The 12,601-nt window shown below is 39.5% G+C and overlaps 1 protein-coding gene and 1 long non-coding RNA gene across 2 annotated transcripts in view, besides 1 other annotated feature; one reads left to right on the top strand and one right to left on the bottom strand.

Moving 5' to 3' along the window:
- Window positions 1-2,856, top strand: part of RDH10-AS1 (RDH10 antisense RNA 1) — a 45,556-nt gene extending 42,700 nt beyond the window's left edge. The window contains exon 6 of the long non-coding RNA NR_125388.1: window positions 365-2,856. This is a non-coding gene — a long non-coding RNA (RDH10 antisense RNA 1). The remainder of the gene's footprint in view (window positions 1-364) is intronic.
- Window positions 1-12,601, bottom strand: part of RDH10 (retinol dehydrogenase 10) — a 30,680-nt gene that overhangs the window by 11,520 nt on the left and 6,559 nt on the right. The gene's annotated exons all lie outside the window — the stretch shown is intronic.
- Window positions 9,017-9,518: an enhancer, noted in NCBI's record as "NANOG hESC enhancer chr8:74216479-74216980 (GRCh37/hg19 assembly coordinates)". NCBI's record gives its function as "activates a minimal SCP1, AML or CMV promoter by ChIP-STARR-seq in naive and primed H9 embryonic stem cells {active_cell/tissue: H9 hESC(naive and primed)}" and the evidence as "EXISTENCE:reporter gene assay evidence [ECO:0000049][PMID:30033119]".

Below are 12,601 nucleotides of genomic sequence, written 5' to 3'. Positions count from 1 at the left end.
TACTGTCTAAAAAACAGAAGAGGACATCAAGTTCTTCAGCAGGAAAATATGGTTGACTCTTGATCTAGGGGGTCTCAAAGTCAGTAACCAATATATGAAACAGGAAGTTTACAGAATTTAGAGTTGGAAGGGGCCTAGGGATTTTCTTATTTGCAAAAGAGAAAACTTTTAATAACTGACTTTGGCTATTAAATGTAGAGCTAGAACTTTGACTACCATGATTAATTTGATCACAAGATTCCAATACCATATTCTGCTACCAGCTGACAGGGTTGCTGTGTGATTAAAAAAAAAAAGGGAAGGACATTCAAATGGACACTGACATTCCTATGAAACATGCTTAACAAGTCTAATATCTCCTTAGCTCCTCAGGGTTCCTCTTCAAAGCACTGGGCACTTTGAAAGATAACTGTAAAGGTCACATTTGTAATATAAGCAAGAACTTCTTAAACAGACATGTAAGTAACTGCACATAGACGTGACATGTCATAGCTCGAGAAATCTTTTAAAGTAAAGTTTACGCCAAATTAACTTCCAACAGCTCCGACTCTCCAGACCATTCTTGGTACTCTTAATGACAGACTGTGCAGCCCAAAGCCTGCAGCTGCAGTGTCAGGACAAATTAGCCTAAAGTGGAACAAAAGTCAATGTGAAGAAATGTGGTATCCGGCAAGGTCTGACTTTTGAAATTCTGAGATTGATGACATTTTAAAGGTGTAGGTACAACAGAATGTGTTTTCCATATTTGTAAGCAATTCTAGGTTCCTGAGCACTGAGAGAAAAGCAAAGTTAATTTCTCACCGTAGGAGAAGGCCTTATTATTTTTGTGCACATACACGACTGTCCTGTGATCAAGAAAAGGCATCTTTTAAAAGAATCGTTTTGAAATGTTTATCTCTTATTTGAAATCCAAGAAAGAGTAGACATTCATTTCCAAACAGGACCATAAATCATATAACGCTGGGAGAAAGGTCAACACCACCAGCACAGCACAGTTTTCTCACATATGCTTAAGGATTTTCAGAATCTCCAAATAATAGCATGATGTAAACTTTGAATAAAAAAGAACACCATCAAGACTCCACTGAACAAAGAACGTCTGACTGGAAATGCTTACGGCACCCTTCACATGGTTGGGCAACTTTCCTCTACTGTTCCACCCCTTCTGCCTGTGCAGCTGCCAGAGTTAACTTATCTTTATCAGAATCACAAAGGAACACTCTCCTGCTTATTTACAAGGCTAAAATGACATCTGGTGGCGCTCTTCTCTGAGAACTCAGTCACTGTTCCTGGAAAATGATGCAAAAGCACAAACTTTTGCAGGGCAACTGTAGGAGTATTCTTGTGCGTGTGTGTTAAGTACTAACTGCTGATGTTGCTCAAATGTTCCGCTAGTCCCTGTAGCCTCACAATGTTTTATTCATTGTCCTGTGATCAATTCAAAAAAGCCATCTTTTATAAGAATGGTTTTGAAGTGTTTATCTTTTATTTGAACATCCAAGAAAGAGTAGACATTGACTTCCACAGGGGACCATACCTCCTATAATGCCTGAAGGTGCTTAAAATATAGTGAACTGTGTTAAAGTTAATAGGATACATCATTAGTGTGTTAAAAAATGTAAAATGGTGACATACTATCAGCTCACCTGGGTAAGGAAAATATGGCTAAAGTACCTCTAAAGGTATCTACTTATTAAGTATACTGACCAAACTTTAGACATTTTACTTCGACCACAGAAAGTATTATTTGAAAAAAAAATCTTCATTACAAAATTACATATTTAATTAGGAAGTAAAACCTAAATCTGTATTTACTAGCAATGCCAACTTTAAATATTCTAGTTGCAGCTGACAACAGAAATTCTAACATGCATATGTTGTTGCATAATAGCCTCTTTTTCCTAGTTGGGTATGTTTGTAGAGACAGAAAGGTCCCCTGACCAATTGTGCAATAGAGCCCCAAGATACTTAAGCCTGGAACTACTCTCTCAGACTTAACAAAATGTTCATCTTAATTTCTATCAGATTGGGACAAAACATTCACTCTTTAGATAATAGAGGAGAGACTAAAGAACATGTCATAATAGTCAAATTTGTGCCAATGTTAAATCTATCCCTTTAAAAACATGTATTATTGTGAGGCCGCAGGGATTAGTGCAACATTTGAACAGAATCAGCAGTTAGTACTTAACACACATGCACAAGAATACTCCTACAGTTGCCCTGCAACCAAGAAGCTAATAAAAGAGCCAGGCTTTTCAAATGAACACCTCGATGATGACACCATTAGTTATTCAGCAAAAATAAATGCTTCATTAACTTGTCTTCCCACTGTTAAAGGATAGGATGAATTTACCTCAAGGCAGCAACTCAGATATTAACGTTCCCTTACATTTTAGAGCTCACTATGCAGAAATACCAGAAATAAGGTGACTTAAAACTCAATTTGTCTGTAAAATACACTGGCCTTTGGAATCCAGAAACCCACTTGGTCCTGACTGCCAATTACTTGACCTTCCTTTTGTTACTTGACCTCTCTGGATCTTGACTAAACTCATTTGTGAGACAAGAGGAGATGTCCAAAGTTTTTTCATCTCAAATATGTTACGATTTAGATTCAACAATTATTTTTCCAATTCCTACCACACACCCCGAATACTGAGGTCACGCTGAGGTATTATTTGCCTAAGACTCTCGTAAATGACTCAATAAGGGATCAACTCCATTAGTGCAGTGGCCAGCATTGAGTGATCAGCAAAAATATCTCATTGAGTATTTCTATGATGTCACGGCTGTGCCTTTTAACATAATGTAACTTGAATGTATGCCTCTTATCTATTAAAAAAATTACAAATTATTTGAAACAATCATCCTTCTTCCGTTTTACTTGAGTCCATGGAGGCTCAATGTGTTAAACAATGAATGCTGAACAGTGTTTCTGAAATGCTGTTTTCCCTCATCTTTCCCCTGCCGGGCCCTAGATGATCAAACGAGTGTTTGATGATCTCCTTCAGCCTCAGGCCCCTCCCCCTATTTAATAACTCTTTATGGAATAATGAAAATAACCCACAAAATTGCAGCCAAATAGCTTGCCAAACAACAGGCTGTCATTGATCTCTTTGCTTTGCCCCAAACTCAAACTGCTTCTCAGAAATTGTAATAAAGACAGATCTTCCAAAGGGCAGAGGCTTCGGTTCTGCTCTAGTGACCAGTAACTACTTCCATGACGCATAAACACATGCATGCGAGCTTAGCCACTGCTCCGGCCATCTGCAGTGGCAGACTTCTTAGCCCCTGTTCCAACAGCACAGCTCTCAATGTCCCCATCATCAACCCCTGTAATTCCTAAGTGTAAATAGTTCAAATTCTTCCCTGCTTTCTAGTTTGCTTACTGTGAAATCTTTAAAAAGTTAAAATCTTTACATAAATGAAGGGTAAATATATTCAAGAGATTACACCTGAAAACTTATTCTGTTTTTAAACATGCACTGTTAGAACTTAGAATTCACTCAACACATATGAGGGTCTATGAGGTACCTACATTGGGATAGGCATTGTTAAAAAACAAAAATAAGTATTTGTGAACCTCTTAAAGGATTTTAAAGATTGCAGATGGCAACTTTCCTATAAATCAGTGGTTTGGTACATTAGAATCACCTGGGAAGCTTTTCCTCCTGGTGTTCAGGTCACCTCTCAGACCAATTATACCAGAATCTCCAATGGGAGAATCAGGCATCAGGAGGCAACGTCCCTCAGGTGGTTCCCATTTGTAGCTGAGTTTGGGAACCAGTGCTCTAGAACAGCGTTTCTCAATCTCAGCACCATTACATTTGGGGCTGGGTAATTTTAAGCCATAGGATTGCCCTATGCATGGAAGGATGTTGAAGCAGCATCCCTGACCTCTCTCCACTAGATGCCAGCAGCAGCTCCACCAGTCTGACAAGAAAAATGTCTCCAGATGTTACCAATGTTTCCTGGGGGCAAAATCACCCACATGAGAACTACTCACTAGAAAGAACATGTACATTAGGAAAGGAAGTCCCGTATACTCCAGTGATGATTGTCCCTTAAGTTTTCATTCTCATATTGTAATGACATTTTCCAGGTTTGGAATATATTTGGGGCTGGAAATTGAAAAAAAAAAAAAAAAAGGCAACAACTTAAATATGGACTCAAAACTTCATCACTTTTAGTTTCTATACTTCAAACCACCACTCCACCATGAAATTAAGAAGTACCTTTGAAGGACAATAATACTGATCCAACAAGTCTGATATATTCTAGCTACCTCACAGAGGAACAATATTGAAATGTCATAGAAGATGACACCAATCACTTACCAATCACAACTCTGGTTAAACCACCGAAAATATCATTACTAAATTATGAGAACTGAAAAAAGAAAACTTCCTTTTAAGGACAACAAATATACATGAGACACCATTCCTTCCATTATCCAGCAATGCCACACAGTTCTTCACTGGCCGGCCCTGACTTTCTGCTGTGGTGCTTAGGGCTGTGAAAACTCCACCCTGGGCAGAGCAACCATTCAGACACTGGACCTGAATCAAAATTTAAAAAATAAACCTAGATCAGAGTGGGCCCCAGAGTGCGTGGTCTGACATCTTCCTAGGTACAAGATTCCTAAAGGGCTGGTTAGCTCAGGAAAAAAAAAGTGTGTGTATGTGGGTAAGGGGGAGATGGAATATTGAAAAAGTGGGAAGAGTAGTTCCTCTTCAAACTTTGGCGCACATGCGTGTAGGAATCACCTGGGCTCTGAATCAAATGCAGACTCAGATTCAGTAGTTAGGTGGTGCTGCTGTGGCTGCTCGGGACTACAAGCCGAGAAGAAGGTTCTAGAGTGAGCCTGAGCAATCTGTCTACTCCCAACCTCACGTGGCTTCAGATCAACTCTCCTAAGAGTTCAGTGAAACAGGCAATATAATTGATCCTCTTTCTGTTCCCAGTGCCTCCTACCCCTAGCATTTATCAGGTAAAGCCTGGTTCAAATCAATGCCAAGAGCCCCTAGTGCAAGAGCCCCTAGTATGAATGACCATGGGACTTTGTGGACTGACTCTATGTCTATTTACCTTGGATCCATTTTTAGCACTAGCAAGCCACCCAATCCCATTAGAACAAAGTTTGTAAAGAAGAAACCTAAAAGACTTCAAATCCTTCCCTCTGCATCCACAGAGGCTTTGAAGGCTTAGCTTTCAAGACAGGGACTGTAGACTCCGTCAGCCTTGGCACTTACCTCACTGGCTTTCCAACTTTACCTTGGACAAGTGAACCATAGAGGCTTTTATACTATGGTAAGCCTGTGAGAAAACCTCATTTAGGGAATAATTACCCCTTTATAGATCACATGCTTGGACTATAAGTTTGGACACTACCAGTGGCCCAAAGTGCACAATTTTGAAAATCCATGATTAACATTTCAAAGGCAAAGCTTATGAAGCTATCTGGAATTCTGATCCCATAAGAATATTATATAACAGAATAAAGGTTTTACATTTTGTTAGGAGATAAGCTAACAAAATGAACTAAACTAAAACCACACTTAACTGATATTTTGGTACCAATTATTCATAGAACTTTGTTCAGCCAGTCCTTGTAGAAGAGCCCTATCCATTCGTGACTTTTTTTGTGTCTAATTTGTCAATGCTGATATGCAAACTAGGAAGAGAAAGAAGGAAGCTGGGTGACGAAGGATGCACTACACTATTCTCAAGGAAATAATAACTCTCTCCAATACAAGCTATGGAAAAGTACAGAAAAGGCCCAGAAACACGCAAGTTGGGCTTTCGTAATAAAATTCTAGTATAGTATTGGTTCTTCAGGCTTGAATTTTACATGCTTGTCTAATCTACAGAGCAAGCTTCCTGGGGATATTAAGCTAGGGTTAATCAGTTACTGCTAAACTAACCATGCTAATAAAAAATCAACATTTGAAGATTAATTCTTACACTACACCACAGGGCAAAACTCCTAAGTGACTCATAGGAAAATCTACCTACTGTACCAGGAGCTTTGAACTTGTAGCCCACAGCTAAGTATTTGTACAGGCTCTAACCTGGAAGCCTAGGCTGAGGGTTTGGGTCCTAGTTTCTTCCTTCCCTGGCAGTGACCTTAGGGAAGTCCCTTCACCTCTCTGGGTTTGTTTCCTCATCCATAAACATGAGGATAGTGGCTCTATTTAATTCAGAGTTGCTGTGAGGCTCAAATGAGAAAAGTGTTTATGAAAAGGCTTTGTAAATTTAAGTGCTATATAAAAATTTAGTACACAAGGCTCATTAAGCATGTATTTATAGACTATTTTTGTTATAAGTGCTATCTATTTTTGGTTAGGTTGTTTCCTTAAGTTCCTGCAAGTCCTGGTTCTTACTATGTATGGCTCCTAGTCCTCCCTGCCCTCCACGCAGACCATATTCTGGTTAAAACACAGTATCTGACCTAAGAAAAGAAGTCGCAAAAACACTGCTAAGCAGTTGCTTCAGCTGCCTAGTCCCTTTCATCCCAAGTCCTAGATGACGCTGGAAAACAACGAAACTTTCCAACACCACCACCTTTCTAATCCTTCTTTTATCAGTCCCATTTTACTATAGGCAAAAAACGACTGTTATAAGTAAAAATCGCAACACTTAAAGAGTCCAGCAAACATAATAAAAATACAATATGAAATCATTTAGAAGTAATTCATTACACCTTATGCTTCTCTTTCCCAAGAGACTGCAGGACTAGCCCATGTAAAAAACCCTTAAGAAATCAGTAGGGGGCAGTATGTTAATTACAACTTAAGGTGGGAAAATTCAGGCTTTGAATTTTAAGTTTCACTTGTCCTCAAAATACCCATGTGTTTACATAAGTACCACTTATGTTATTTTGAGCCCTATTGTTTAGGCTAACACTAAGAAGCTGCACCATGTTAATATTCAAAAATTCCAGTACTAAACTATTTGAAGGAAAGGCAAGAAATTCACATTTTATGCAAGCAGCATGTAAGAAACACTTGTGGTTTTTTCCAAACCAAAAAATACAATGCTAACACCACTGCCACTTTCACACATCTTTGTGTGATCTTTGAAAGTTTCACAGACCAAGTAATGTTTTGTTTCCAAATGTGAATTCATTGTAAGTGGCTTGTCATTGTAAGGGGCTAATTTGACAGCACTCAAGGTTGCGGCAGTAATTGCCCTTACTTGTTAAATATTCTAGCAGCATTTGCTGCAGTGTTGAAAGTTTTATGAAGATTATAAGAGGATATTCATTTTTTCCCCCTGTGGCTCACTTCATTTCAGTTTCAGAGCATTTAGGAAAATGGTCCCTGACAGGTGTGAACCTGAGTTTTAAGAGAATTGACAAATAAAGTAAAAAAGAAGAAAAAAAATTCAAGAATGAAATACACTGGGGAAGCTCTTCAAGTAAAAAATGTTAGCATTCCTTCAGACCACATGAAAAGGTTTGCGTCCCCTCGCATCCACTCCAGTGTGGGGATGGCATAGGCCTGTATAAACCCAGGGATGCAGGTGACTGGAACTGGCCAGCCAGGTATGTCAAGGCAAATGAATCCCAAGGCCATGCTCTGTCAGCCTAGGCTCTGAACAATGGTATCTTAACAGAATGATAATTCACAATACAGGGAACCTTCTGAAGGCTACCTATTATGGGGACCAGCTGTATGCTTTAGAAAAAATCAGAAACCCCCATCTTCTGAGTTATTTTCCAATTATGTCTATATGGGGTCTCAGCCTAAAGGAGCTTCTAGGTCAGTTGATAGAATCTAGAAGTGTTAGTTCTTTGAATAGCTAACTACTATACCAACTTCTGATAAGAAAGATTAACATATTTTAATCTGATCTCTGGAGTTACAGGCTCAAAATATTGAACTTAACCCATTCAGCTGAGGCAGGAAATAGTTCTCTATTTCTTAAGGACTATTAGATTTTGTCATACTCCAAAGATTAGTTACAAAAGACCCTTTCTCTCAGGAAAATACTGGTTCTATGTGCAGGAAATAAGATACAAATCCACCCTGCCAGTACACCCCCTAGTGGAACTTCAGCATAGTACAGTTTGGGGGTCCAAAAACATCCTGGGTATTTAGGACTTTCTTTCCCAGGTCCAGTGGCTGTAACTGCACCATAATCATGTCTTCTACTTATTACTGAGCATAGAAAAACAAGCAAGCAAACAAACATAGCATGTCATCTGCACATTTATCCATATAGGCAGACATCTGGATTAGACACATGCAAATAGACTACTTACCATAATTGAAAGAGGCTTAATTTTAGTTTCTGAAAGAACTAAAGCAGAAATTTTAGATGAATTTGCTATTAATATTTCTCAACTCAAGACAAAACTTAAATGTAAAGGGGTTTCCTACTTAAAATTCATCTAACTCTCAGGTGAGGCTATTAAATTTTCTCAGATTGTCATGGGTTAGATATATTCAAGTTACTAAAACCGATTCATTAGAATTTCCCAAAGATCTCAAAAATCTGAAGCATGATCAGAGTAAAAACAAATGTAGGAGAAGAGAATAAGTGGAGTGTGAGCAGTTAAGTATTAAACTACAGGGTTTGTAGTGACCCAATCCTGCAATGAATGGCTAAGGGCTCTGCCGGGGCACTCTGCATTCAGTCTTTTTGAGAAAGCTATTCAGTCAGTGTTAGCATTAGCACAGGCTACACAATGCTTCCACTTTGACATATCCTATAGATTGATTTTATTTGGGCAGAAAATGGATAAAGCCTGGGATGTAGAAATAATGAGGCAGAAAAGAACAAATACCAACTTTGCTTCCTTCCAGGAATTGAGATAAATAACACAACTCACTCCATGATCAAACAAGAAAGGGCCATTCCTTGAGCCAAGAATTTCATGACTATTTTACAGGGACTGCCATCTTAACATATAAAGATATTATTAAGTGAACATGAAAATGTTTTGAACTTGTTTTTCTTTCTCAGGAATAGTGACGGATTTTTTTCTGAACTATTCAACTTCTGTTGTCTTCAAGTAAAACAGGACTCAAATGGCAGAACAGCCAAGCAGAGGCTCTTGTGTGAAGCATAAGTGTGTGCAAGGCTCTCTCCAGGCACAGTGAGGAGTCCAGCCCATCTGAAGTTTACAGTAGATGAGGGGATAAATAGGTGCTGACCTGGAAAAGCAGGTGGAAATCAGCTTTGGAAGGCCCAGGATGCCATGCTAATGAGCCTGGACTTCACGCTGTGAGCAATATGGTCATACAAGTGTTTTAAGCAGGCAGATAACAAACTCAAGGCTGCTTAGATGACCCTAGGTTGGAAAGCCAAAAGCGAATACAGGAAAAGAAGATCAGAGGCACTTTCAAGAGTCCAGGCAAGAGGTGATGGAGGCACACAGGATGAAGTAGGAAAGGAAAGGGGCGATCAATCAAAGCACAGGGGCACAAGCAAATAGTCAGGATTTGGGGACCCATGAATGTACGCAGGCTGGAGAGGTGAAGATAATGCTGATGTTTCTAAGCCTGGTGACCAGGGAATGCAAGAAGGAGCAAAGAGGAGTTTGTTCAGTTTTGTGACATGCTGCTTTAAGAGAATGTGTGGCGCAGTCAAGGTAGTTGAAGGCAGACAGAGAAGCACGACAAAGTGGGCTTATCATGGAAGCTAAAGCACTTGAGTTTCAAGGAGACGGTCAAGAGGGTCACATTCTGTAGAAAGATGAAGCTGCACACTGGATTTGGCAATGAGGGGAGCATTGCTGTTTTTTTCATTTAGGTTAGAAATTATGACATTGGTTATTTAGCAGTTATTTTTTAAACAACTGAGAAAAACAGACACAGATTAGAACATATTGAAGATGTTGGAGAACTTTTTATCTGATGCAGCGTCTGGTTCCCTATTCACACCAGCTATGTAAAGTGATATTTTATCATGTCATAGATTTTGATTTCTAGTAGCAACAGATTTGGGCCCAGCATGTAATGTATCAAATACAGAAACTCAAAGTTCAATGAGCATGTGATCCTATTTGGTGTATATAGGTATTCAGTCCCAGGTACCAAGCAGTTCCTATCAAAAGAGATGTTTTACTCAGTTTTCAACTGTGACTACAAGAATAAGATAAAATTGACCCCAGGTCAATTTACAACTCTGTTTAAGACATTGAAAGTACTTCTAAAGTTCAAACATTTTTATACATATGACATATATTTAATAACAGAAACCAGTTCTACTGGAGACTTCTAAAAATAGGCCATGAATTCCAAGTGTTTAGTAGCTATCTTAAGATAGGAAATCAATATTCTCTATAAACTAATTAGTCTTACAGTTATTATGGTAAGGAGAAATACTGGCCAAATATTTTTATGAATACTTTAGAAATGATTTTTGAAATTCTAAATGTAAGAAACCTTGAACAAAACTAGTTTCTGTAACCAGAGAACACAGGAATGCAGTATGTGAGATTAAAAACCAGTAAATCACATAAGAACCTAAACATTAATGATTAGGGACCATTTATGAGATATTAGGTACAACTGCAGCACTAATGTCTTTAAGTGCTACATTACTCAGATCTAGCTGGTGGGCTTTTACTTTTCCTGGATAGATTTTAACTAAATAGACTTTAGACATTTGGATATAGATAAATGCTTAATTCAGTAATTAGTATTTTAAAACTGTGAAACCTTTTAAGTTAAGTGGTCTATTAATTAACTACCAATTATCTTGTCTGACTACCATATCAATAGAAGTAAATTACCTACTAGCTATTTGACAGATTTAGTCCTTTACCATGCAAAAATTCTTCAGAATATAAAAGGCCTGGAGTTAAATGCTTTTGCTTCCCCCTTTTGGTTAATCAGGGATCAATTTGCTGCTCACGTATAAAGGCCAAATGCAGCTCTTCGGTTAAAAAGGATCTACAGATAAACTTTGGCTTTTAGAAATAGCAAGCTAAGATTCTACTTCTCTTAAAAAATAACAAGTAAAGCAATGTTAGTACTTTGAGGAAAACATGGGTTTGCATGGAGACCAACTTTCCATATTTCAAAGTAGAATACAGAGAGATATTTTTCTTTTCCTTTTTTTGAGACAGAGTCTGGCTCTCGTCACCCAAGCTGGAGTGCAGTGTTGCGATCTCAGCTCATTGCAGTCTACAACCCCTGGGCTCAAGCCAGCCTCCTGCCTCAGCCTCCTGAGGAGCTGGGACTACAGGCACGTGCCACCACGCCCAGCTAATTTTTGTATTTTGGTAGAGACAGGGTTTCGCCATGTTGCCAACGCTGGTCTTGAACTCCTGGGTTCAAGCAATCCACCCTCCTCGGCCTCCCAAAGTGTTGGGATTACAGGCTTGAGTCACTGCACCCCGCCCAAGAGAGGTATCTTTCAAGTTTTTACATCTCACCCAGATACAAACAGCCCACATGAATAATTTCTATGCTAGTGTTAAAGTGCATGATAGTGCATTCATTTTCCATGGTCTTGTACTGGGTGTTTCACAGTAGATTATGCTGACTAGAACCTACCCCAAATCTATCACTAAGTCTTGACTGGTGACCAGGAGAAGGTTCCTAGGAGAGCTACTGGTGATGGAACAACATTGGAAGATGAAGCGTCACAGCAGACTGGAAGGCTGTACAGAATTATGCCAGGCTGAGGAAAGGCTTCCAAAGGGTACAGAAATGGTACATGGTTAAGAGGGAAGGAAAGAATTGCCAAGGGGGTCCTCTTTTTGAGGACTGATCATTGGTAAATATGAATGGCTGTTACACATTCATTGTGAGCTTCATTCAAACTGGCATACCAACACCAGCCTTATCAAGTCACTAGCCTCACACCAATGAGCAGAGTTCTAACACAAAATAGTAAAAATCAGAACACATGTGGGACAGGGAGAATGGAAAGTTATGTAGGAAAGCAAAAGAAAATATGAGTGACAACAAGGGTGAGACAGCCCTGGTTTGCAATAATGGTCTTACACAGCTTTAGTCCAACATAATGCTCACCTTTTTCTTTCTTGAGATGGAGTATTGTTCTGTCACCCAGGCTGGAGTGCAGTGGCGCCATGTCTGCTCACTGCAACTTCGGCCTCCCGGGTTCAAACAATTCTCCTGCCTCAGCCTCCTGAGTAGCTGGGATTACAGGCTAGCACCACCACGGCTACTTTTTTTGTATTTTTAGTAGAGACAGGGTTTCTCCATGTTGACCAGGCTGGTCTCGAACTCCTGACATCAAGTGATCCGCCTGCCTTGGCCTTCCAAAGTGCTGGGATTACAGGTGTGAGCCACCGTGCCCAGCCCATAATGCTTACCTTTTAAAACTTCAGAACATAGACCCATGTGAGTATTCTCTGAATAGGTTATCTTCTAAATATTTAAGCCTATTATTATCAAATATTTATTGAGTGACTTAAGAATAGAGTTTTGGCCGGGCGCGGTGGCTCACGCCTGTAATCCCAGCACTTTGGGAGGCCGAGGCGGGCGGATCACGAGGTCAGGAGATCGAGACCATCCTGGCTAACACGGTGAAACCCCGTCTCTACTAAAAATACAAAAAATTAGCCAGGCGTGGTAGCGGGCGCCTGTAGTCCCAGCTACTCGGGAGGCTGAGGCAG

Source organism: Homo sapiens, chromosome 8 (assembly GCF_000001405.40).
Source record: "Homo sapiens chromosome 8, GRCh38.p14 Primary Assembly".
Taxonomy (NCBI): Eukaryota; Metazoa; Chordata; class Mammalia; order Primates; family Hominidae; genus Homo; species Homo sapiens.
This window is presented reverse-complemented; position numbering and strand designations above follow the sequence as displayed.